Source organism: Homo sapiens, chromosome 4 (assembly GCF_000001405.40).
Source record: "Homo sapiens chromosome 4, GRCh38.p14 Primary Assembly".
NCBI lineage: Eukaryota > Metazoa > Chordata > Mammalia > Primates > Hominidae > Homo > Homo sapiens.
The window spans coordinates 15,974,236-16,001,161 of NC_000004.12; the positions used below are offsets into that span (position 1 = coordinate 15,974,236).

Here is a 26,926-nt window from a genome sequence, read left to right on the forward strand (position 1 = left end):
ATATTTCCTGAAATGAAAATGCCTCCACTTGCTCCGCAGACTGTGGGAGACAGAAGCATCGTTGGAAAAAAAAAATCCAGGCTTACGTAGGTTTATATGAAAGTCTATTAACTTTTCCTTCAAACAAAAGCAAACAGCCACAGACTGTATAATGGACTAATTACAGTGTGCGTGTGTGTGTTTAAGAAATAAATAGAAATAAAAGAAAAAGAGACCAAAAAAAACTAGTTTATGAAACTGAGTTTGCCACTCAGAAGCAGCCCACTTCATGGTTCTTATTTAAGAGAATTCTCCTGGGAAACGCTCCATGAAGCAATATTAGTTGTCAAACTGCTCCTCACTTGGTAAGTACTAGTGTCCTGGTTTGCAGAAGGCTTTTCTTTTGTTCTTACATTAAATAATTTTTTTTTTCATTTATAAACACAGGGTCTTGTTGTGTTGCCCAGGCTGGTTTTGAACTCCTGGGCTCAAGTGATCCTCTGTCCTCAGCCTCCCAAGGTGCTGGGATTAAAGGCGTGAGCCACCGCATCAGCCAGAGTCTTTTCTAGAATAGCCTAGCACCTTCTCTTTGCACTGATCATTTTCCTCCTAAACCTAGCTTTGTCCTGAAATGCAGGCAACACCTGAAAACTGTTGGCGATAAACACTGGGGGAAATCACAGTCTCAAGCTGTGTGAAGGAGGCACCAATTCGGGCTCATTTGTACAGAAGGTATCATGAGGTGTCGGCTAATATCCAGAGCCCAGTTGGTGTCATCAATGGAAGCTAAGTGGAGCTGGCTCAGCTAACAGATTAGAGCCACACTTAGTTATCTTCTGAATCACCTTTGGGTTCCTTCCATTGGAAATGTTAAGGTAATAAGAAAAGATTATGGTCATTATAGTGAACCACAAACCCTTAAGTAAGGGTTTACAGTGGTCAAAGGGTGAATGTTTTGCCTTGTTACCTCATTGAACCCTCACAACCCTACGCAAACAAGGCTCTTATTTTTATTTATTTATTGAGACGGAGTCTCACTCTGTCGTCCTGGATGGAGTGCGGTGGTGCAATCTCAGCTCACTGCAACCTCCGCCTCCCGGGTTCAAGCGATTCTCCTGCCTCAGCCTCCCAAGTAGCTGGGATTACAGGTGCCCGCCACTACGCCCAGCTAATTTTTTGTATTTTTAGTAGAGATGAGGTTTCACCATGTTGGCCAGGCTGGTCTCAAACTCCTGACCTTGTGATTTGCCTGCCTTGGCCTCCCAAAGTGCTGGGATTACAGGCGTGAGCCACCACACCCAGCCTCAAAGCTCTTATTATTCCCTCCTTCTACAAGTGAGAAAACTGAGTCTCAAGGACATTAAATAGCACTTCCACAATGACACATGGAGGCAGAGCTAGAATCCACTCCAACTCAGACCCCTGGGACCTCTAGGAGGGTCTGGGTGGAAAAGAAAGGTGTCCCAATGTCCCTAGAGTTTCTGGGATGTCATTTCCTAACCTTCTGCAAATAAACCAAATCAAAACTATGATTCTTCACTGACTGCCTGTAGACGGGCTGAACATCCAGGAGACTTGCCAGGGTTCCCACTGGAGGTGGGTGTGCAGGAATGAAAACAAGTCTCGATTTAATTGTTACCATGAAAGATGCTTCAGCGAAACTCACATAAGGTGTCACTCAGTCTTTGGGATTCTTCTCTTACTGAAACAAAACACTTCAACCCACCCTTGGAGTTCTACTATAGAACACAGAATATAGAAAGTAGAAAAAAATTCAAGTGTGCTGTGGACCGTTAAGGAAGGACGTCCAACATTAGTATATCCCTAGCCCCAGGCTTCACAGGTGTATGAAGTGCTAGGCCCTTAACAAAGACAAGTCCTTCCAATGTCTGTCGTAAGCAGAATGACCACAGAATCATCCTAAAGCTTCATTTATGTATTTAATAGAACAATGGCATTTAATCTAGTTCGAATTTCAACACTAAAAGCCCAAGATGAAATGTTCATTAGCAAGTGAGAAGAGTGGCATTTCTCAACACCGACTAGGGCTGTTTTCTAACATTTTCCTGTTTTCCATCATCATGCCTTTTTTCTTGTACAGCAAGTTAAATCCAAGAGTTATCAAGTCTTATGCTGTTCCAGCAATGTGAGTAAAAACTAGTAAATAAGGAGAGCTACGACAACCTTCTTGAGCCTAGAGAATTAAGTCTTTGACGCTACACGCAGGACATCTGTGGCACTAATAGGTGCTCGGTTATTCTCTTCTAGATGCTAGAACTGGAAGTCTACCCTCCTTTGTGGGAAAGGTCTCACGTGGTGGCATAAGACAGAAGACAGCTGACGCCTGCCTATTTCCAGCACTCAGATCTGAAGCTGGGGATTAGCCAGAGTCCAGTTGGCTGTGATGATCATGCCTAAGTGACAAAGGTCTGTGGCAGTACTGGTGTGCTGAGAGGACCCTGGCATCTCAAAGGCTGTCTTGTCAACTTGCACACTGACACCTCCCTTTCAATTGCAGGAGGACTTATTGGATGCAGCACATTCTTCCAGGCCTACCAGTGCATCTGCTTCTCAGGGAGCCGTGGAGTTGTGCCTTCTAGATTCCCTTTTAGGAATGACTTGCCTCCAGCTGGGGGCAGCATGGTCAGCAGAGAGCCTCCAGCTGTCAGAGCCTACCACTCTGACAGCAGAGCCTACAGCTCTATGGCAGTGCTGCTCCAGCCCTGGGAGCAGTGACTGGGGGAGGAGGGGGTGCAAAGACTTAGCTAATCTGTAATGATTAGCCCAGTGTGGGCAACTCCCTACAGGCCATGCTTGATCCAGAGCTCCTGCCTAGTCGGGCCAAGGCTTTGGCAGGCCAACCTTGACTTCTCCCCCTTTTTTTCACAACCATGGCTCCTCATAAACATCCTGCACTCCAAACTCCATTTGAGCACTGCTTCCAGAAAGCCTGCCTGTGGCAGCCTCCACCCAGGCTTGCATCTCTCTCTCTAGCATCTTCCAGGCAGCCTGGATGACTCTTCTTAGAACAGAGAGTACTTTCAGTGCCTTCACAACCAACAGGCAAACACCAGGAAGCAATTCTACAAATTCAAAGCAGTCCTAGAAGATCCGATGTTAGGGCAACATAGGTAATTGAGAACAGCTGTCCTCTGATCTTGAAAATTTCAGTCCATATATATAAGACACCCTCCAAGCATGCTACACCGCAAAAAGGAAGGCCAGGACATTATGCAGGCAGCCGTACTGTCTACTCTCCCCAGAGCACACCTGGCTAATTGATACTTAAATCGATCTTCAACTCTGTCACAACACAGCACTCTAGCCACCAAGCCTTGCATACTGGAAGTATCAGATGAGATGAAGTCAATTTGCCATTTCATGACTTTATTTATTTATTTAGAGACAGAGTCTCCCTCTGTCACCCAGGCTGGAATGCAGTGGCACGATCTCAGCTCACTGCAACCTCTGCCTCCCGGGTTCAAGTGATTCTCCTGCCTCAGCCTCCCAAGTAGCAGGGACTACAGGCGTGTGCCACCATACCTGGCTAATTTTTTGTATTTTTAGTAGAGACAAGGTTTCACCGTGTTAGCCAGGATGGTCTTGATCTCCTGACCTCGTGATCCACCCGCCTCGGCTTCCCAATGTGCTGGGATTACAGGCATGAGCCACCGCGCTTGGCCAAGAACTTGATTTTTTTAATTATCACCATTTCTTCTCTGATCTGAATGTTTGTGCACTCTTAAAATTCATACATTGACGTCATAATCACGGTGACGCTTTAGGTCATGAAGGCAAAGCCCTCATTAGTCTCTCATTAACGCCCTTAGAGAATAGACCCCAAGGAGCCAGCTTGCCCTTTCCACCATGTGAGGATTTGGCAAGACAACGCCACCTATGAGAAAGTGGTCCTTCACCGGACACCGAATCTGATGGCACCTTGATCTTGTATTCCAGCCTCCAGAACTGTGAGAAATAAACCCTGATGTTTATAAGCTACCCAGTTTAAGGCATTTCATTATAGCAGCTGGAATGCACTCAGTTAACTTCTCTTCCCCTAAATGGAAAATCATAATGAAAAGTTCTGATTTTTTTACAATGTTCAAAGTTTTAAGTTCAGGAAGCCATTTACCTCTTGAAAGGACAAATTTTAATGACTTTCTGGTTCTGTTCATCTTGAAATCTGACCAAGGTGGAGCATCAACTGTTACTAGGTAATATTGCTTAAGATAAGGATGTGCCTGACTGGTAAGCAGCTTCTGGCCTGGGAGGCTCTAAATATAAATACCTGGTGTGAAGCCAAAGCTGTGGGCTTACCTGAATGTGGGCACTTTTAACTGGATGCCTCCCATGTGGAGCGTGGGCCTTCTAAGGTGGATCTCCCCCATGCACCAACGTTAGACTCACCCTTTTGCATCTGAGACATCACTGTGGGGAGCGGGCTCGGGGGAGCACTGGCGGGCCAGCTGTATGGGCGTGGGAAGGATCACGCCCACTGAAGAGGACAGCCCACTGCTGCCCTGCTGCCCTGCACACTATGTCTCCACCTCTTATAAGCAGATAGGTCCCTGGCTGACGTGTGGGTCTGAATTCTTAGTAGAGCCTCAGAAGAGGACCGACCTCTGGCAAGCAAAGCTCAGAGTTACCTGACATATGATATATCCAGAACCACAGAAGCTCCTTAATTCTAGAGAATGTAAATTCATAAAGATTTCGGAGGAATAATTGAGGTTCTTTTTCTGGTTGGTTACAGTTAATTTATTGGAAGGAAGGAAAAAAGGAAGGAAGGAAGGAAAGAAGGAAGGAAGGAAGGAAGGAAAGAAAGAAGGAAGGAAGGAAAAGCTTTGAAAACTGTAACTACTCAGGTTATTTGGTGCAGAGAAATTCTAAATGCAAGGTATGCATGCATTTAATCTGTAATGATCTACAGCCATACATAGCATTTTAAGATGACACCAAATTTTAGTTGCTGAATAATTCCATTGTTTAGAAATCGACTGAACATTTAAACTCATGGCATCATGGAACACTATGTAGAGCATGATTGGAGACTAGCATTGATAAAGTATCATACAGAGAGAAGTGAAGGCATCAGCAGCATGCAGAAAATTCAGTGCTGATCTATAGGAGATGAGACGGTTTATCATAGGGCGGGCATGCACTTCCAGACTTTGCTTTACCTTGTCATAACAGGATTGTGAATACCATATACATGATCTTTATGATAACCATTATTACCATTTTCCATACTGTAACAGAAATAAATACACCAAAAACACCATGTTATCTCTAAGATGAAGTATTTACATCATGGATTACAAAGACAATGTAATGGTCATGAAAAGTATGTAACAATTTGTTAAATCTAAAAAAAAGACAAATGAGTAATTGACATTTTGCTCCTTTTAAACTTCAAAGACCAAAGGACTACTTTATAGATTAATAAACTTAACATATAAAATTTCATTAATTCATCAAGTATTTCTTGAGCACCCTCTATGTGCCAACCCTCTTTTTAAGACCATTGCAATTTATTTTTGCCTGTACAGATCTGCTGTTTCTACATAATTTTAAGATGTTAATAACTTAATTTTTAAAGTCCATTACATAATAATATCAACCTCCCCCATCCCATCTAGGAATATAGTTTTTTTAAAAAGGCTTACTTTTTCATGGGTATAGTTTCAACACTATAAAATACAAAAAAGGGAGATAAAATTAATTTTTTTAATTATTATGAAAGCTCAGCAACTACATCCCCCAAATATTTACTCTAACACGGATACTGACAGTGCAAACTCAGGAAAGACCCATGTTGAAAGATAAGTGAAGTGAAAAACAAGGCATACACATTCACCAGACACAGAATGAGGGGCAGACTACAGAGCCAAAATGGAAAGTGTAAAAACAGTTATCATAAAGTGAAATGCCAGGTCCCCGAGAGAGAGGAACTGCAAACAAGAAATAAAAAGGCTGGTTAGGGAAGCTGAGAGGATTAAGCAAGAGGAAAAAAGTAGTTAAAACAAGTATAGAAAAATCAGTACCAAGAAAAAAAAATTCACCTGAACAGAAGTGACCCAACTACTACTAAAAAAAAAAAAAAAAAGAAATCAACTTTAACCTCATCAGAACTCATCTTTAGCAACTCTTTGAAGACAGCACCACCTAGAAAATGACCCCCACGTCTGTGGAAGCCCACATACTTACTCATCGTACACGTCCTCCGAATCCATTCGACGATAGTACTTAGCCAGTTTTACCGCAAAAATTAGAGCCGGAAGTAAAAATACAGTAGCTTTTCCTATGCCAAACCAAAACAAATTCTAGGAAAAAAAAATCAGAAGAATTAAATGTTTGAAGATAAGAAATGGGAAAAACAGTTGTTTGGGGGATTTTTTTTTTTTTTTTTTTTTTTTGGAATTTTTAAAAATGAGTTGTCATTTTGTTCTTTAAAACAATTTGAGAATGTCATGTGGACCAGGCACTGTGTGAAGTGCTACGCACATTGTTAGGATTCATTTCATCTTTCTAAAAACCTTGAGTAGATCCTATTATTATGTTTATTTTACAAACGAGGAGCAGAAACAGCAAGTGGTAAAGCCAGGATGCGAATCTAGGCCACTCCAACCCAACTTCTAACCACCCCAAACAGATTCCCTTTGTTGCCCGACCATCCAGTAATCAGAGCATGGATGGCCAGCAGGTTTGAGTTTCAGTCCCTCTTATGAGTTGTTATTTATTTATTTATTTATTTATTTATTATTTTAGACAGAATCTCACTCTGTCGCCCAGGCTAGAGTGCAGTGGTGCGATCTCGGCTCACTGCAAGCTCCGCCTCCTGGGTTCATGCCATTCTCCTGCCTCAGCCTCCTGAGTAGCTGGGGCTACAGGCGTCCGCCACCACGCCTGGCTGATTTTTTGTATTTTTAGTAGAGACGGGGTTTCACCGGGTTAGCCAGGATGGTCTGGATCCCCTGACCTCATTATCTGCCCACCTCGGCCTCCCAAAGTGCTGAGATTACAGGCGTGAGCCACCGCGCCTGGCTGAGTTGTTTGTTATTAAGATGACAAATTAGCCAGGTGCGGTGGCTCATTCCTGTAATCTCAGCACTTTGGGAGGCCGAGGCAGGCGGATCACGAGGTTAGGAGGTCGAGACCATTCTGGCCAACGTAGTGAAACCCCGTCTCTACTAAAAATAGACAAAAAATTAGCCAGGCATGGTGGTGTGTGCCTGTAATCCCAGCTACTCGGGAGGCTGAGGCAGGAGAATCACGTGAACCCAGGAGGCGGAGGTTGCAGTGAACCGAGATTGCACCACTGCACTCCAGCCTGGGCAACAGAACGAGACTCTATCTCAAAAAAAAGAAAAAAAAAAAAGATGACAAATTAACCCTTCTGGCTTTGTTCTGCATCTGAGCAGCTGAGATGCTTGCATCTTCATTCCATGACATTACTGTGTCAAGAAGTTAGAAACAATGTTCACTGCATGCTAGGGTCTCAATCAATGTTTCACGTTTAATTTAACCAATCTTGAAGGTATATAGAAGGTAGATGACCATGTTTTGTCTAAAGAGCAATGTTAAAGTATCCTTTTTTAAATAGTTGCCAACATTTTTAAGTCAGATTTCACATGTAAACCTGGATTTACATCCTTTCTTGAAAATTCTAAAGTTCCATCTCTTAACATTGAACCCTTATTCCCACAAAGCAAGAGTCTGGAAGTGGTTCTTCCTTCAAGGGGACATTTGTCCTCAGTGGTGACACAGTCTACACCACTCACATCTGCAAGGTGATATTCCAAATGATGTAACCTTATGGACCAATCAGGACAAACACACAATGTATAGATGTCACGGGCTGAATGCCACTCTGGCCAGCATCCTACACTTGGCCTGCTATGTAAATCTACAACCTGCCAACTTCCTACGTAAGTTCGAGTCTGACAATATCCCTGCCTTAGAATAATGCTGTCAGTAACACTAGAACGACTCTCCCCAGCCCACCATGAGGCCAAATGCCACTTGGAAATAACACCTGCTTCACCCTCACAGCTTGACCCTGCATTTCTGCTTTGCTCCTGGCTGAGTTCAGAATTACAGAGGTGGCACCACCTCTTGGCTCCTAACTTCCAGTCAATTTGTTCCCCCTTCCCTCTATGTTCTGTTAGATTTCTGTTTTCAACCTTGTCTTGAGAAGCTTTATAACTTTATAACAACCTTATCCTTTTTCTGGAAGCTGCCTCAATCCTTTTGGGGACAATTGAGATACAAAATAAACATGTTAGCTAGCCCACAGTCTATCGTATTGACTAAATGGATGCCCAGAGCTCTTCCTTACGATGTAAACCCTCTGCTACACAGCTCCAGCCTATGATCTTCCTGAGCAGCCTCTAGGCCTCCCCTCTGTCCCTGGTGATCTGTGGAAAGGCATCTGGTGGCTATGTGGTTCGACTGAATGGGGTGGGTGGTGGAGGCTGGACATAGAGAGACGTCAATTCAGAATCAAGCAGGTTGGCTCTGGACTCCCCTAATGAAGGCTTCAGCCAAAGCTGGCGGCAGGGGCCACCAAGCACAGGACAAGAAAAGTAGTTGCAAGAAGAAGGAAGCATCCAGGAAGCAGGGCCTAGGGTCTGCGTGGTTGGGTCGGAGGCAGAATCCTTTTCACTCAGGCATGAAAGACCCTCCAGCAGACAGATGGACAAGTGAACGAGGGAGGTGGACAGACAGGGCAATAGGGATGAACTGTGCCAGAGAGCTACCTGACAATGCATCAGTGATACTCTGTGCCAGGTATTATGCCAGACAACAGGGACACAGCCTTGAATGCACTGGTGACTCATGGAGTGGAGAGTCTAGAGTGTGCTGGAGAGACAGGTCTTAATCAAAGAAACATATAAATATGTAATTGAAACAGCAATAACATCTCTAAAGGAAAAGCATAGAGTTCTACAGGAATGAGGAAAACGGAGCTCAGCCTAGTTTTGGGGATCAGAAAAGGCTTCCTGGAAAAAAGACATGTTTGAGCTAAGACCTGAAGGCGGAACAACAATAGTAGTGAATATTCATTGAGTGCTGATGTTCCAACAGCGTGAAGGGCTTCACATGTGACCTCTCACTGAATCATCAAAACAGCCCATGTAGGCGAGGAACTCAGAAAATTTCAGGAATTTTTCAAAGTCACAGAGTTCTGAAAATGTAGAAGTGGAATTTTCATTCAGAGTTGATGTTCTCCACCATTGTGTTACCAGACCTGGAGGAGTTAGGTCTTAAAGTGGGGAGTGGGTAGGTGGGAAGCGGAAGAGGAGAGAGAAAGAGAAAGGCGGCGTGTGCCCATCTCCAGTCCAGGCAGAAGAAACGGCATGTGCATGGGCCCTAAGGTGGGGAAATTGAGATTTATTTGATGAAGTGAAAGAAGATGAGTATGTCTGGAGCACAGAAAGAAAGGCGGGCAGGCAGAGAGCACACAGTGAGATCTGGAATGGGGAGGCTCAGCCATGCAGAGCCTAGTATGGGCTATGAGGAATCCTGATCTTTAGATAGCAATGGGAAGCCACTGAGGTGCTTTCAGCAGAGGGAGAGGATCCACTCACAGAGAGAGTCAGCATCTGTTGAGGAGGGAACAGAGCTGAGGATTAAGCCTGACTAACTGGAACTTACCATCCCAATAGTCACATTTCTAAGGGCTTTTTAATGACAAATGAAATTTGATGCAACTTTGGGGTTGTAAATGTAGTTGTACTGAGTATTCTTTTGAAGATGAGAAATCTGCACACCCGTGACTGTCTTTCTGATTATTCTGAACTAACAGGAGTTTTCTCCCTGCAGGTCTCCTGACTCATAAATATAATCCTAGTGAGGAAAGAAGACAACCGCCCAGAACTTTGACTTTTCTAGTCTATTAGCATCTCAATACACTGATCAAAATATTACATTTTAGGTTTTGGATTCTCTCAAGCAGAAAACAAATATTATAATGTATATCATAATCCAGAAAAACAACCAAAGATGATGGATTCATTGTGTCTTCTTTTGAAAGATGAAATCTTACCAAGGGGTCGATAATGTAGCTACACAGAAAGACATCAACAGCAGTATCTAGAGCGGTGGCCACAGGTTTGCACGATGCCACTTTCTCACTGATCTAGGGGGGTGGAAACACAGGGAAACTTTGAGCTGCATCCACAAAAACCCAAAGGAATGAGACGTGCCATTTACTTTTGACTTGGTGTCACAAAAAGGATCTCCATGTCCTCTAAGACAGGGGTCCCCAACTCCTGGGTCACAGATGGATACCAGCTAGTACCGGTCCACAGCCTGTTAGGAACTGGGCTCCACAGCAGGAAGTGAGGGGCGGGTGAGCAAGCAAAGCTTCACCTGTATTTACAGCTGCTCCTCATCTCTTATGTTACTGCCTGAGCTCCACCTCCTGTCAGAGCAGCAGCAGCATTAGATTCTCATAGGAGCATGAACCCTATTGTGGAACTGCACATGCGAGGAATCTCAATTGTGCTCCTTATGAGAATCTAATGCCTGATGATCTGTCACTGTCTCCCATTACTCCCACTGATTCTACACTGTGGTGAATTGCATAATTATTTCATTATATATTACAATGTATTAATAATAGAAATAAAGTGCACTATAAATGTAATGCCCTTGAATCATCCTGAAACTACCTCCACCCCCGGCCTGTGGAAAAACTGTCTTCCACTAAACCAGTCCCTGGTGCCAAAAAGGCTGGGGACTGCTGCTCTAAGACATGGAACTGACGGCTGATGTGCATGGATGAGTTCTGCATATACAGTTACAGTCGGCCCTCCATATCCCTGAATTCTGCATCCATGGATTCAACCAATCATAGATTAAAACATATTCAGAAAACAATGGATAGTTGTACCTTTACTGAACATGTACAGACTTTTTTTAATACAGTATACCAACTATTTACATAGCATGTACATTGTATTAGGTATTATAAGTAATCTAGAGAGATTTAAAGCACACAGGAGGATGTGCATAGGTTATGTGCAAATAACTATATCTTTTATATAAGGGACTTGAGCACCCAAGGATTTTGGTATCTGCAGGGGACTCTGGAACGAATAACCCATGGATACTGAGGGACAATTGTATATATTTTAAAGCAAGATCCTTATTCTCTCTGAGCCTCGGTTTCCAGTTTCCTCATTTGTTTTGGAACAGTGAGACCCAGCCTACAGGACTCTGAGAGAATTAAAAAGTTCTCGTGCCCAGCATAGTGTTTTAGTTCAAATTTGTTACCTGGCCCCTTTGTTACCTGAAAAAGGGGGTGGGAAGCAAATGGAAGAACTGCATATGGCAAAGGTGAGCAAAGGGGACCAGGAGGTGGCTGTCCTCTGACCTGGTGGGAAGCCCCAGAAGTCTTGGTCCTGCACATCAATGTCCTTTCACTTACTTCCTACCAAATTATGGGAAATTTAATTTTATTTCTTCCAGATTTTACCCTAGAAAATGGCTATCCTGAAACTTGACCCCCCTTAACATTCATAAAAGATAAACTACTTACAGAGAACTCGATCCACTGCAGATAATGTTCAAAATATCCTATTATTGTTCTCCCATACTTCTTAGTTTCCTGGAAAGAAACAAAAGATGAGTAGAAGCATTAAAATGATGACAGCATACTTAAACATTATAAATATTTAATCTGTAACATTCAAGTGCCCACTTATGGACACGCTTACTTTAAAAAAGAAGGCTCACCTCAATAATAACAGAGGAAGTATTGTTTGTGATGAAGTTCTGAGCAAAATCCAGAGAAGCTAGAATCCTAGTTACTCTCTCCTGAAAGACACAGCCACAGTTATCAGGGTATCAAGTCATAGAAAGTTTTAATTAGACAATTTGCATATTGATTCAAGTACTGTAACTCAGCTCTGCAACACCACGACCTGGACCTGCTAGTTAAGAGGAAGACAGAACCCACCCAGGCCCCTGAGGGCAGGGAAGGAGATGAGCTGAAAGTGAGCATTTACTCTAGCCCAGACACTGGGCTAGTCCTTGATAGGAATGGCCTTGCTGGACTTGCTGGAAACTCACAACGAGGCAGGAAGGAAGGTACTGTTTGTTAGGTTCCCTTCACAAATGAGGCAGCTCAGCCTCTTCACGGTCACCATGCTGGGGAAACATACGACAATGCTGGGATTTGCACCGAACTTTTTTTTTTTTCACTACAAAACCCATAGTCTTTGCACTACAACACAAGCAAAGACGAGTCCTCTGCCAACCCACATGGCAGCTTGGTGCAAATTGGAAATGGGGCCTTTTCTGCCCAGGGACCTCAGGGCACAGAGCCTGGCAACTCAGTCAATGGCCAGTTTCTGCCCTCGACTAACCCCCTTGGCTGGGCCCCTCATGAAAGGCCTTGCACCACTGCACACCCTCGCCCTGTTCACAGAGGTAGCAAAGCACCTGCACGTAGTCACTGGTGTGTTTCCAGGTTCCCCTGGCATGAGACACACACCTATGAAATGGCAACTGTGATCAGAGGCATAGCGAGGGTCCTGGAGCAGAGTAAATCTAAACATCTTCAAAGGAGCTGAGCCATGATGTTGGTCTCACTGAGAAAAGTGGAAGGAGGAACATTTAGTTTTATCCTGTGGGGCTGATACCCAAAACCTGTCATGTACAGACTATTCCGTTCAATGAAAAAATATCTTCTGAGTTGCCCATTGGTACTGTAGATACAAGATGAATACAACCCAGCCTTGCAGCTCTGTGTCTGCTGAGGGAATGCTTGCAGCCCACACATGGCCCCTGTGGTAGGTAGATTGCATTAGCTGTTCAGGATTATTGATATGCTCCTTGGATGGCTTCCCAGAGCGTGGAGTATACTTCCCCAGCCAGACGACGATGTGTGTGACCATGTGACTTGCTTTGGCCAATGGAACGCTGGTGAAGGGGCAGGGTGCCCATTCTGAGCTTAAAGGACAACCTGTGCCTCCACTCATCCCCTGAACTCCTGTCCTCCACTATGAGGACATGAGGTGCCCCAGACAGGAGCTGCTCCTTCAGGCCGGGTCTCTCAATGGGAAGATGTGTAGAGAAGCCTGCTGTCAAACCAGCAGGGAAAATGAACATTTATACTTAGAAGGCACTGAGGTTTGGGATTGTGTGTTAGGCAGCATTATCTCTGTGAAAGGGACCAATGTACCTTCCAAGCTTGCATCCTACACATCAAAACATAGATTTCACCTATGTATCTAATAGCCTGCTAAGATGAGGTCTGCACTTAGAGAAGTACTTGTAGAAAGGAAATAGTAGGAAAGCCCAATTTGCTATTTAAAATAGGTAGATAACTGAGGCTTTTTTTTTCAACTTAAAGTACCTACAAAAATCCACATTTCTAGCATTCTTTGTGTGGTATTTTATAACAAAACCCCATGACAGAAAACAAAGTAAACCCTTACCAACAATCCATTCCCTGTGCGTTGAAGTATCTTGACGCTTTGGTATAGAGTGCTCTGGCAAGAAACAGATAATATTTCCAAAATTATTACATGAAGCAGCAAGATCACATACCTTGTGTCCTCCCTTCCCACAAGATAGCCATCAAATCTGTCTTTACACTGTAATGGTTTCATTCTAGAAAAAATAACCAACACAATTAACAATGTGTACTTTCTTTTTTTTTTTTTTTTTGAGATGGAGTCTCGCTCTGTCACCCAGGCTGGAGTGCAGTGGCACGATCTCAGCTCACTGCAAGCTCCGCCTCCTGGGTTCACGCCATTCTCCTGCCTCAGCCTCCTGAGTAGCTGGGACTACAGGCGTCCTCCACCACGCCCGGCTAATTTTTTGTATTTTTAGTAGAGACGGGGTTTCACCGTGTTAGCCAAGATGGTCTCGATCTCCTGACCTGGTGATCCACCCGCCTCGGCCTCCCAAAGTGCTGGGATTACAGGTGTGAGCCACCGCGCCTGGCCAACAATGTGTACTTTCTATGCCTCTGGTGTAAGAAAACCTGAAGAAAACATTGGATACATATCCTAAAGCTGTGAAGAACAGCAAATCACATGTGAGGCATCCAAGAAATCCCTTTGAATTAGGTTTGATCAAAGTGGAAGGCATTATTTAAAGCAGAGCCTGCCCCGCAAGAGTGGTTAACCTGAATGGTTTAGACAGGAGGTTGACAAACTTTATCTGTAAAACACCAGAGTAAACACTTTAGGTTTTATCTGCCATAGTCCCAACTACTCAACTTTGTCCTTGTAATCAAAAGCAGCCACAGAGAGTTTGCAAATGAGTGGGTGTGGCCATATTCCAATACAATTTTATTTACAAAAACTGCTGGTAGGCTGAATTTAGCCTGCAGGCTGTAGTTTGCAGGGTCCCTAGTTTGCCAACCCCTGGTTTAGATCATAGGTCTCAGGTAGGAAGCACTCTGCCTATTTGTGGACAGGTTGCCCTAGCTCTGAAAAGGCCAAAGGGTCCTGTGTACTTGGGAAAAAAGCATTTAAAAAAATGCAAAACCAGCTTAAAATGTTAACAAATTTGTGTTAGGCATAAACCAGTTACAGAAAATTGTAAATAGCACTGGACACAAATTAAGAAAATTCAGTGACAGGACTTTGTGAATAATCTAATAAATTAGGAAATCGAGAGAGAAAAAAAGAGTATTGGAAATTAGTTCTGGGAAGTTTAGTGGTTGGGATGTTCGGATGTTTGGATGTTGGGGCTAAGTGGATTTACTTGCTTGTCCAAACCTGAGCAAGCTGATTCAGTAACCCAGTTTCCACACACTTCTCTCCTTGATGGCTACAAATACGGCCCACACACAAGCATAATATAATAATTCCTCCTCTTTACTGAGATCCTCTGAGGTCAGGTCCTTCATTTCCATGAACAGGTAAGAGCAAGGCAGTTATTGATCCCAACATTTTTAGATGAGGAAACTGAGAAGCTACAATAGTTTGGAGAGCCAGAAGCAGAATTTAAAACCAGGTCTGTCTAACTCCAAAGCCCACATTCTTTCTTTGTTAGAAACTGCCTTTATTGCATTAAGAAAAGAAGCCAGAAGGTGGTGAGAAGCAAATGGAAAGGATGGAAGAGAGGAGAGACGAAGCAACGCCCATCGAGACAGCAGACAGGGCTAAGTGGATCTACACAGAGAAGCACTTAACCTCACCTTCACATATTTCTAGACAAAGCTCGGAGAAAAAGAATCAAGTGAGTCCACAGCATTGTAGCTAAATGCGGGGCATAGGAGGGCCTGCTCACAGCAATGGAAACTAGAGCAAGGTGGAAGAGACAGCCACAGATTTTATCTAACTGTTCACACTCAAATGAAAAACGGAAGGGAATAAGCAGCAGAGGGAGGTGCAATTATTTTGTCTAAAGGCCAGCTCAACTTCTGGGGCTGAAGCCAGTCAGCTGGGACCTATGAGAGATGAGCATGTGTCGTGAGGCTAAATGAAAGCCAACTAGCTGCAGTAGATTTTGCTCAGGTCACAGTGAAATACAATACGTCGTTGACTGTTACCAGTGATTGTTCTATAGGAAGGACTCGTTGCTGGTGAATTGTTTTAATAGTTTGTGCATCTCTTTTCAGGGAGTTCCTCAAATTTCCTGGGGGCTACAAAAAGAATAAAAAACAAAGATCAATACCATCTTTCCAGACTCAAAGCACTCTCGCTATCCTCAGGGGCCCTGTGTAGCCAGGAGGGCTGCCATGACATAAGCATGCAATGATGGCTGTGAGTGGGCATGGGGGCTGGTGTGAGGGATAGTGCCAAGACACCCTCCTTCAAAGCACAGAACCATGGACTCTCAGCAATAACCCACACCCAAGAGCCCTTCCTGAGTGCCAGAGACTGTGTTCTCTCCACCTCACCATGATACAGCCACTCTCAGTTTCCCATTTTACAGGTGAGAAAACCAAGGACCCATAGAGAAATTTTTATTTAACCCACACTCAATGAATGTTTAATTTATTAATGAATAACAATCCTATAAGGTAGATACCATTACCCCATTTTACAGATGAGGAAACTAAGGCAGAAGGGAGAAATAACTTGCCTAAGCTCCTATACCGAGTCAAGACTTAGACCCAGGTCTTCTTCAAGAGCCCAGGTTCCTCGTCACCATGGCGTGCTGCTTCTTGGACGGGGCCAGTTAAGGCCAAGTAGTCACCAACCAGCAGAGGAGTTGAAAGGGGAAGCTTATGGGGCTGGGGTGGTACCTCTGCCTTCCCTCATCACTTACTATTGGTAACTCAAAGCAACACATGAAATCTTCCTCCCACAGCCCCAGGTACTATTCCCTACACAGCAGGAAAACAACCTGTGTGCATGGGCGGGTGTGTTTAGAAGTGGAGGGGTTGACAGAGGTGGAAACAGATCCAGAGCTAAAGTAGTGAGGGTGCCCGCACTCAGAGCAGAGGGTGGAAGGCTGCAGTCATCTTGAGATAGAAGGCAGGTGGGACTCCGGACCAGACTGAAGACTGGCGGAAACCAGAAAGAGGAGCCCAAAGCACCTCTCCCTGTCCATCACCATAAGGCATGCCCGCCAGCGCCATGACAGCTAACCATTGCCATGGCAACACTGGGAAGTTACCACTCATTTTCTAGCTATTTCTGAACAACCTGCCACTTAATTAGCATTCCATTGAAAGCGGTTATAAATAAGACTACAAAACTGTCCCTAGGCTGCTACTTTCTGCACACTGCCTATGGGGTAGCCCCCCTCCAGAAGAGCAGTCTCTGAGCTGTAACCCTGCCACTGCCTCAATAAAGCAGGTTTCACCTGCCCTGCATCAACCCGACACCATCCTGGCAACATTCAAGGCTCAGAGGGGTTTGGGACACATGGCAATGGCTGTGGACGGAAACGTAATGACACACACAAGAGAGGTGTTTATGAACAAGGGATTACTCACAGTGTGAGGAACCTCTCCAGCAGCTTCCCTAAGAATGGTACTGACATTTGACATCTACAACTACTACAGTATTTAACCGGACGATTTGAACTCACCAAACTGTTTGCTTTTGCTTCTAGATCATATGCAAATGATAAAAGATTCACTCCTGCGGGGGATTTACCAGTCTACAATAGAAGTGAAAAAAATTGTCTTATGGATATGGGATCTTTAAGCCTTAACACAACATCTAGTAGGCAACAGATTAAACATGGATTCATAACCATAAAGTAATCATGTGAGGTCAGAAACTCTTAAACAGGTGGCAACATTTGCATTCTTATTTATACATATAAAGCCATATTTTTATTCAATCATATTATTCAACTATGAAAAGGAATGAAGTGCTGATAATGTTATAACATGGATGAACAGCAAAAACATGCTCAGTGAAAGAAGCCAGACACAAAAGATTATGTGTTACGTAATCTTTTTTTTTTTTTTTACTACCCAGACTAGGTAAATCCATCTAAAGAGACCACAGATGGGCCGGGCACAGAGGCTCACGCCTGTAATTCCAGCACTTTGGGAGGCCGAGGTGGGCAGATCACAGGGTCAAGGGATCGAGACTATCCTGGCAAACATGGTGAAACCCCGTCTCTACTAAAAATACAAAAAAAGTTAGCTGGGCGTGGTGGCAGGCGCCTGTAGTCCCAGCCACTCGGGAGGCTGAGGCAGGAGAATCACTTGAACCCAGGAAGTGGAGGTTGCAGTGAGCCGAGATTGCGCCACTGCACTCCAGCCTGGTGACAGAGCGAGACTCCGTCTCAAAAAAAAAAAAAAAAAAAAAAAAAAAGACCACAGATGGGTGGTTGGGTGGTTGCCAAGGGTTTGGGGAGGAGGAAATGGGGGCAACTGCTTTGGGGTTTGCTTTAGGGTGATGAAAATGTCTTGGAACTACAGGAACTACAGAAGTAGTTGTGCAGCACTGTGAATGTACTCAATGCCACCGAATTGCTCACTTTAAAATAGTCTTACATCATGTGAATCTCATCTTAATAAAAAATCAAAAGCAAAACAGAAATACACATCTGACACTTTAATTTCTCCTAAAGGATCAAGCATGAACACATGCGCCATACCTGAGCCAAGTAGCTGTCATAATTCATTCTGTCTATTCCACAAGCAGCAAAATCCTGAAGGTTTTTTCTTCCTGCTGCACCCAACAGAAAGATATTAAGATTTACCTTCAGACTTTCCAATTCACTGCTTATGCTTCCAGTATGCTGCGAAAAAAGGAAGTTACAAATCAGTCCCTTATTCTCCAAGAATGTCACAAACCAAATGCTTTAAAAGAGCAATAAAAGCTGGATGTGGTGGCTCATGCCTGCAATCCTAGCACTTTGGGAGGCTGAGGTGGGAGGATCGCTTGAGCTCAGGAGTTCAAAACCAGCCAGGGCAACATAAAGAGACCTTGTCTCTATTTAAAAAAAATTTTAAACATAAATTTAAAAAATAAATAAAAAATAAACAGCAATCAAACCACAAAAGACAAAAAAAATGTGCAAGCACTTGACTGGCATCTCTTCCTGGTACTTCCCATCCTGTTCATTTCCCATCTCTTTCTCTATGGGTCCCATGGCTTCTAAGCCTCCAGCTTTGACAAACAGAGAAGCTGAAAGGGACACAGGGTAGGCTGGCATTCCAGGGAAGGGACCAGTACACACAACAGCTGGGAGTAGGAAGAAATGGGAGATATCATTTGGGGAACAGTGTTTAGTTACTTGGGCAAAGATTATGGAAACACGGTTGGTGATTCAGGGTTGTATTGATAGTCAGCAGTTTCCAGCAGCATGGAGTGCCTGCACGTCCCAGGCAACCTCTCCAACTGCCATCCACCATAGCACACAGAGAAGTGACCCACAGCACGACGGGCATCTATTTAGGGTTTGGTTACAAAATTATGTCTGTTTAATGTATATGTATGGACTATTTAGGGAAGATAATAAACATTTCATATACAGCTTTCAAACACAGCTTTTCACATTTGAAAACCATCAAGCCATCATGGCCTCATGGTAACTCTAGCAGCAGTGCGCAAGCTGTGGGGGCTTGGGAATAGCCTCTTCCCTTGGGATCCCTTTGTTTCTGCTCTCATTCTGGAAACCCAAAAGAGAGATGACAGTCTAGATTCTTTCTGGCAGAAAGTCAGAAGAGGCCTCCAGGTACGGGGAGTGGGGTTGGTCTAGGTTAACGGCACCCTAGGCCTGGGCAGCTGAAACTCTTGCTCTTTCTTCAGGCCAGTGTGCCCTGGAATGGTCTTTCCTCCAAATCTTAAGACTCAAGACTGGGGTGTGGGCTCTGGCAAAAGAAAAGAGGAGGTTCTGTCGGCTTCCATCCTTTGCTTTAGTTCACACTGGAGTCCTGGGGCCACCTTGCGACTCATAAGGAAGGAGAACGGTATGGACCATGCTCCTCCACACTGAGTGCCCAATTTCAGAGACTGGCAGAAAGGGAGGCTGGTCTTGGAGTGAGAGCCTTCCTGAGGAACAAATAGGGATTGTTCCCACAAAAACGTCTATACTCAGCAAAATGACATCTTTCCCTGTGAAGTGTCCACAGTGAGACCCCTCTAGAGGCTCTTGCATAATCCACTAGGAAAACTCAAACCACAAGAAAGACAACTGGTCGGGCAGTGAGAAAACGTTTTGGAACCAAATAGAGGTGAAGGTTACACAGCCATGTAAATATACCAAACATCACTTTTAAATAGTTAATTTTATCTTTTGCAAATTTCATCTCAATTTCCAGAAAAGAAAGAAAGACACCTAGATTTGGTGAAGGAATGTGTTATGTCGATTCCATGACGAGTTCTAATTACCTCATTAATGTTGAGATGTTCACTGATATTGAAGCTGTTCTGCAGGTGAAGAGTGCCGTAAGTGCCTCTATTTTTTTTGCAGTCACTGTGGGAATGAACAGAGAAATTAGGACCTAGAAAAGCTGTTGCAGCTACCTCTGTCCACCACTGAAGATGAGGAGAAAGGCTCACTGTTTCTCCTTGTTTAATCTGTGAACACAGAAGTGGGGCTGCATGTCCCCAGTGGCCACACAAATCCCCCAGCACCCACCACTTCTGACTTCTTGCCTTGCTTTACTAACAGTCCTGTTCTTGGAAGAGATGCAATAGGATTGATGAATATATCTTTCCATCTGTCTCCTACATGCTCTAGTTCTGCTGTGGACCACAAGTTTACAGATTGGGAAGAAATAAATTCTCATTAAAAAGAAAAACAATACTTGCTAGAAAGAGACGCACTGCAGAGTAGATTATGAACTTCATTAAATGATTCTATGAAGCTCCTGCCAAGAACATTTCTCCTCTGTATTTCCAGGGCCGAGCGGCACTGACTAAATATACGCTTAGACGTATATCCTCATGGTGAGGACAGAGATAGGGAGGAGACGCAGACATCTCGATGGTCAGCACAGTTTGGCTGTAACCTAAGTCAGCCCCCTGGGTGAAATGGCCTCACCTCACCATGCCTCAATCATATCTCTAAAATAGGAAAATTTGACTTTTTTAGACTTGACTGAGCTAAGAAGGGTAGGCCTCATTGGATGTGTATTCCTGCCACAAAAATAGCGGCATCCAGGAATGTGGCATCTCTTCCTTGCCACAGCAGCCAGGGCCCTCTAGGCCTGAGGGATGCCTGGAAGAAGCAACTTTCCCACATCCCTAGGAGGTGTGATCCTTCCCTCCAGAGAACAAGCGGGTTGGTGTTGTTGGAACTTAGAGCCTGATGCATGAACAACCAGAGGTAAAACTGGAGGGCTCTGCAGGAGCCAGAATCACAAGGAGCTAGCATGCCAGGCTGAGACACTTGGCTTTGTCCTCTCAGCCTAGGGGTGGTGAACGGGTTTAACTGTACAGAGAAAAGCCAATGGATTGCTAATGTATGCCTAGAGCACGCTGTCCAGAAGGAGCCTGAGGCTCCCTGGGCTAAGCAGAAGACCTCGGTTGACTATCAATGTCTACCCTGAGTATGGGGGATGGGCACTGGACACTTGTTAGCTGCCTCTGCCAGAAGCAATGGAGAAACTTAGGTAGGAAGTGACACATGTGGTTGGGTCACATCACATCATGCTTGGAGGTTTGGAGGATGGAATGGGAACAAGGAGACCAGTTGGAAGGAGAGAGAGAGAGAGAAAAAGAAGAAGAAGACGAAGAAGACGAAGAAGAAGAAGGAGGAGGAGGAGGAAAAGAAGAAGAAAAAGAAGAAAAAGGAGGAGGAGGAGGAGAAGAAGAGGAGGAGGAAGAGGAAGAAGAAGAAGATTTAAGAAAGATTTAGAAGACAAAGCCTACGAGTAACATTTATAAGTTCATTCTGAGTGTTGTCTCAGGGCTCCAGAAGCTCAGTTTTCACTGCCATGGGCTGAATAATGGAAACGAGGACTTTTCTCTGTCCTTTAACTTTGTATTTGGCCCCAAAGTGGTAGTGGGATTTTTAAAAGCTCCCAAAGAGTAGCCTACTGCCCCTACCTCCCTGCCTTTGTCTGTGTCCCTCGGCCGAGGTACCTTTTTCCTTCTTGGCCCAGCCAATCCCCACTAACCTACTAAGATCAGCTTAGGTGCCATTTCCCTCAGGTAGTCCTTCCTAATCCCTCCATTCCCACACTGCATAAGACACCCTCCTTGGGGCTTCTAGAGTAGCCTCAATACATTTCTGTCACCTGTAAGTATCACTGTATTCTAGAACACTTCTTTACAGATCTAACTCCCTGCTAGGTTTTCCTTGACAAGTAGGACCAGAGTCTAATTCAATTTTGTATAATATCTCAGGTATACCGTTACCACAGGTGCTCATATAATAATAAAAGCAGTTGTTAGTATGGTACTTAGCTCGCTTTACAACAGGTGCTCATAAAATAATAAAAGTAGTTAGTATGGTACCTAGCTCACAGAGTGGTGTGGATATTAAAGAAGTTTACACAACCGAGGTGTTTCCATCAGTCTTGGCATACAGAAAGCACCATGCAGGTGCTAGCTCTTAGCATTTTGTTAAATTACCACTATTACCACTTAGCATAATATTTATTAGGTAATAGAAATAAACAGTAATGGCCGGGCTTGGGGCTCACGCCTGTAATCCCAACACTTTGGGAGGCCAAGGTGGGTGGATCACCTGAGGTCAAGAGTTCGAGACCAGCCTGACCAACATGGTGAAACCCCATCTCTACTAAAAATACAAAAATTAGCCAGGCGTGGTGACAGACACCTGTAATCCCAGCTACTCAGGAGGCTGAGGCAGGAGAATCGCTTGAACCCAGGAGGCAGAGGTTGCAGTGAGCTGAGATGGTGCCATTACACTCCAGCCCGGGTGATAGAGCGAGACTCCATCTCAGAAAATAAATAAATAAATAAATAAATAAATAAATACTTAGTAATGACACAGCTACATTTGTTTTAAAATAACTTCTGTGGTTTGGCTACAGGAACTAATGACCATTGATTAATTAAATGTGTGCATATTTCAAAATATTTTTAAAAAGTACAAAAAGAACCTTGCAATACCTAAAAGTATAACAAATTCACAAAATGCTTAAGAAGTCTCTTGAATATCAAATGATGGCGAATACTACTAAGCTATATAATAACGCTAGGCATAGGGTTAATACTTGCTTAAAATTGCATAAAGGAACTCTGAGAGAATAATAAGAACACTAAGAATGGTGGTTCACGTGTAGGGCATGGAAGGGCTTCTGTGTCTCTGACTTATGAAGTGTTCTGCTCTCAATGTGAGTCACTATCGCCCTGTTATTTTTAGTTTCATTCACTATGAACACACCATGTTAACACACACATCCTCCGGCCCTTCGGTCTCACAGTGGGAGAAATAAGTGTCACCAGTGTTTAAAAAGCATCCTGTGAACTGATTTCAAATACTCTTAAAGTGACTCCCTTCCCTGTGGCTCATAGCAGAGAGCTGCCCATGGGTTCACACCTAAGATCAGACACCTAAGACTACCAACCATCAGACTAGGAGCCCATTTCACCACTGAGCAAAAGCAGACACTACACAGTGAGCTAAAAGAAATGCATTTCAATGAAACATATATATATATATGAAATGCATTTCGTTCATATATATATATGAAATATATATTCGTTCATTCATATATATATATATATGAAATGCAAACATATATATATATATATATATGAAATGCATTTCTCTTAGCTCACTGTGTAGTGTCTGCTTTTGCCCAGTGGTGAAATGGGCTCCTAGTCTGATGGCTGGTAGTATACATCACCTGAGGTCAGGAGTTGTTATATATATATATACATAGTTTTTTTGTTTTCTTTTTTCCTGAGAGAAAGTCTCACTCTTTTGCCCGGCTGGAGTGCAGTGGCACGATCTTGGCTCACTGCAACCTGCGCCTCCCTGGTTCAAGCAATTCTCTTGTCTCAGCCTCCTGAGTAGCTGAGTCTACAGGCACATGCCACCATGACTGGCTCATTTTTGTATTTCATTTTTAGTAGAGATGGGATTTCACCATATTGGTCAGTCTGGTCTCGAACTCCTGACCTCAGGTGATCCACCTGCCTCAGCCTCCCAAAGTGCTGGGATTATAGGCATGAGCCACTATGGCCAGCCTAGATGAACAATATTAAGAACAGGTATTGTTTATCAAGTCCAAATGATGTGTCAGGCACCATTCGAATCTCATGTATCTTACTTAACCCTAAAACAACCCCAGGGTCAGATTCCTATGATCATGACCCCCGTGGAACAGAGAAGATGTGGAATTGCCCAGGGCACAGAGCCTCCAGGAGGGGGCCGGGGTCAGAGCCCAGGAGTCCTGACAGCAGACAGCTCTCCAACTGCATTGCCTTCCCCCTATCAGTGATCCAAATCACTGAATCACCTGTTCACTATTCTTGTTGGATGGCTTTTACTTAGAGCAATGTGGTTCTTGAACAAGATCTCTCATGGGGTCCCATTAGTGCATCGTAGGGTCACCTTAACTAGTGAGTTCCAGAGATTATTGGAGAGCGAGACCTTGAAACATCACCATTCCAAGGTCTCAAAGGCTTTCAGTAGAAGGAATATATTTTTGATCTAATTTCTACTGTGTCTTTAAAATAATACAGGACAGCTTATCTCTGAAACATGAAAGTCATATAATTAAGATTTAAAAACACTTCAAATGCAAAATTCTCATTCCAGAAAAAGAACATCTTAAATAGCGAAATGTATAATGCAAATATTGATACCTGTAAACTTGTTCAAAAGTGAGCTTCATTTTTGATTTATTAAATAGCTTCCCAGAGAGATAGTATTCCCAGTCTTCATTTAGTAAGTAGGGTGTATCCAAAACCTAGAACACATTAGGAAGTATTTTCGAAAAATCAGTTTTACACTAACATACATACTAATATAATAAAATTAATATTCTGTTGAATGTATTTTGGAAATTTTTCATAACATTATTTTTCTGGTTGATTTCCAACTTATAACTAGAAAATAATAGTATAATTGGAATAAATCAATTTATTATATTTATTGATGGGTAGCATCAATCAAAATTATTAAAATTACTTTTTTTGAGAACTTTTTTTTTTTGAGACAGAGTCTTGCTCTGTTGCCCAGGCTGGAGCGCAGTGGCGCGATCTCAGCTCACTGCAACCTCCCCCTTCCGGGTTAAAATGATTCTCCAGTCTCAGCCTCCCGAGTAGTTAGGACTACAGGCACCACCACTGCCTGGCTAGTTTTGTAGTTTTAGTAGAAATGGCATTTCTAGTAGAAACAGCATTTCACCATGTTGGCCAGGCTGATCTTGAATTCCTGACCTCAGGTGATCCACCCACCTCAGCATCCCAAAGTGCTGGGATTACAGGCGTGAGCCACCACGCCGAGAACTCTTTAATCTTTAACCTTTATCTTAATAAAACAAACACATTATAAATAGAAGCAGAGTAGACCATTTGATCAGAATAGCTAATATACAGCCATTAAGTGGTGGACCCAGTGCTGCGCTATTTCTCTCTCTGGACAAAATGTATTAAAATTCACACACTTGGCCGGGCGCTGTGGCTCACGCCTGTAATCCCAGCACTTTGGGAGGCCAAGGTGGGCAGATCACGAGGTCAGGAGATCGAGACCATCCTGGCTAACGTGGTGAAACCCCGTCTCTACTAAAAATACAAAAAATTAGCCGCGCGTGGTGGCGGGCACCTGTAGTTCCAGCTACTCGGGAGGCTGAGGCAGGAGAATGGCATGAAACCGGGAGGCGGAGCTGGCAGTGAGCCTAGATGGCACCACTGCACTCCAGCCTGGGTGACAGAGTGAGACTCCGTCTTAAAAAAAAAAAAAAATTCACACACTCTCTGCCTCTGCATCATACATATTTAAGATGGGCAAATCAATGCATGACTGTACGCGCTTGAGAAGTAGAAATGGTTTTGAAATATCCCGTACTTAAGAAAAATTATCTTTGAATGATTCGACACTCTACAGGAGATAATGATGCCTGGCTTGATGTCTTTCTTTTATCAAAAGGCCAAATGGAGATCATTTGACCTGCTGGTGATCTCAACTTAATCTCCCTCGACCAGTGAAATAACTAAAATACTGTGACAACAGTATTCTCCTGATTTCATAACAGATCTTAGGCGGAAAAATGTATATACAATGAAAGAGTGAAATAGAAATATATTTTAAAAATCAGAATCTGGAGAAAAAAAAAACACAGAAAAGCCACAATTAGAAGCCAGACACTTACAACAAAATTTCCTCATTAATGAAGAAAGCAAAACTGCCAACTGGTCCCCCGGAGTCGGTGGGAGTTGGACTGAGAGGGAGAAAGCGAAGCTTGAATTCATTTCCTGGTGGCACTACTAGACGTGTGCCAGGTCAGCCCTCTGCCACGAGTCATCCGCTTATCAGTCTCTTTCCCTTCAAATATAGGGCTCATCTGTGTGGACACCTCTGTCACCTGGGAATCTCCCAGGGTGTGTGGGAGGAACCTGGGAACTGATCTTCTGATGTTCCCAGCCACATTTGGAAACTACTGCTGAGGAAAATTCTTTTCTCCCCAAATACTGCAATCCACATTGAGCGGCAGGACTTTAACTCCTGACCCTGATTTCGCTTATGATCAGAAAATAAGGACGCTCCCATATTTTTTTTTCTCTTACAAATAGAAAGGATCTACTGAATTTATTGAATATTTGAAAATTTATTGAATTTAATAATTTCAAGAAATTTACTGAATTTAAACCAAACTGCTTATAAGTTTGCACTGCTCTTAAAGTAATGCACAATATATGAAGAAATCCAAGTTTCTGTTCAAGTCCTTTCATAATGGGTAGAAAATCATATTTACCCGGAATAATTCCTTGCTCGTGTAAGGTTCACAGATCAGTTTTTCCACATTTGCACCAAAGACAAAGGTAAGAACCACAATGATCATCAATATCCAGCAAAAGAGGAAACTTAATCCAACTCCACTGGAAAAAAATATAAAGTTAGTAATTCAACAAAGAATGATTCAATATTACCTACTGATACTTACTAAATCTACCTATACTCTATAAAATAGCCCTGGGGTCTTCAGTGTTATTCAGGTGAAACAGATCATCCACCTAGGAGTGACACAGGGCTTGGGGACCTGGAGAGGGGCAGCTCCAGGACAGGCAAGGGTACACTGGATGGGGGCCTGGGGACCTGGGGAGGGGCAGCTCCAGAGCAGGCGGGGGATCACTGGATAGGGGCCTGGGGACCTGGGGAGGGACAGCTCCAGGGAAGGCGGGGATGTACTGTATAGGGGCCTGGGGACCCACGAGGGGTAGCCAATAAGGGGCTGAAAGCACACGAGGAGCACAACCCGACTTCTCTCTGAACGCAAGCACTCTTGGCACAGTGTAAAGGATAGACTGGACAGGTGCCAACGTGGATGGGACATCATTGCAGAGGCTGTTATCATGGCCCATGAGGGTGGCCTAAGGGGGCAGGATTGGTGGAGAGTTGGTGGATGATGGAGATGTAATAT

General features: G+C 43.7%; 1 protein-coding gene across 39 annotated transcripts in view, besides 2 other annotated features; it reads right to left on the reverse strand.

Moving 5' to 3' along the window:
- PROM1 (prominin 1) overlaps positions 1 to 26,926 on the reverse strand; it is a 115,796-nt gene that overhangs the window by 6,008 nt on the left and 82,862 nt on the right. For 18 of the 39 annotated variants that reach the window (NR_199807.1, NM_001441179.1, NM_001441174.1 and 15 more), the window contains 13 exons: positions 26,261 to 26,384; positions 24,150 to 24,253; positions 19,752 to 19,836; positions 18,013 to 18,156; positions 16,987 to 17,058; positions 15,497 to 15,589; positions 13,428 to 13,481; positions 11,722 to 11,802; positions 11,525 to 11,593; positions 10,028 to 10,120; positions 6,187 to 6,302; positions 5,646 to 5,669; positions 5,160 to 5,228 (listed from right to left, as the gene is read on the reverse strand). Coding sequence is in view for 37 of the 39 variants with exons in the window: in NM_001441179.1 (NP_001428108.1) it covers positions 5,160 to 5,228; positions 5,646 to 5,669; positions 6,187 to 6,302; positions 10,028 to 10,120; positions 11,525 to 11,593; positions 11,722 to 11,802; positions 13,428 to 13,481; positions 15,497 to 15,589; positions 16,987 to 17,058; positions 18,013 to 18,156; positions 19,752 to 19,836; positions 24,150 to 24,253; positions 26,261 to 26,384 (1,128 nt within the window). In the remaining 2 variants the exon portion in view is untranslated. Of the gene's footprint in view, positions 1 to 5,159; positions 5,229 to 5,645; positions 5,670 to 5,690; positions 5,931 to 6,041; positions 6,067 to 6,186; positions 6,303 to 10,027; positions 10,121 to 11,524; positions 11,594 to 11,721; positions 11,803 to 13,427; positions 13,482 to 15,496; positions 15,590 to 16,986; positions 17,059 to 18,012; positions 18,157 to 19,751; positions 19,837 to 24,149; positions 24,254 to 26,260; positions 26,385 to 26,926 lie in introns of those variants that run through there. The other 21 variants (XM_005248195.6, XM_011513900.3, XM_047416378.1 and 18 more) reach the window with 9 other exon arrangements.
- Positions 6,245 to 6,838: an enhancer, noted in NCBI's record as "NANOG-H3K4me1 hESC enhancer chr4:15982103-15982696 (GRCh37/hg19 assembly coordinates)". NCBI's record gives its function as "activates a minimal SCP1, AML or CMV promoter by ChIP-STARR-seq in primed H9 embryonic stem cells {active_cell/tissue: H9 hESC(primed)}" and the evidence as "EXISTENCE:reporter gene assay evidence [ECO:0000049][PMID:30033119]".
- Positions 6,839 to 7,431: an enhancer, noted in NCBI's record as "H3K4me1 hESC enhancer chr4:15982697-15983289 (GRCh37/hg19 assembly coordinates)". NCBI's record gives its function as "activates a minimal SCP1, AML or CMV promoter by ChIP-STARR-seq in primed H9 embryonic stem cells {active_cell/tissue: H9 hESC(primed)}" and the evidence as "EXISTENCE:reporter gene assay evidence [ECO:0000049][PMID:30033119]".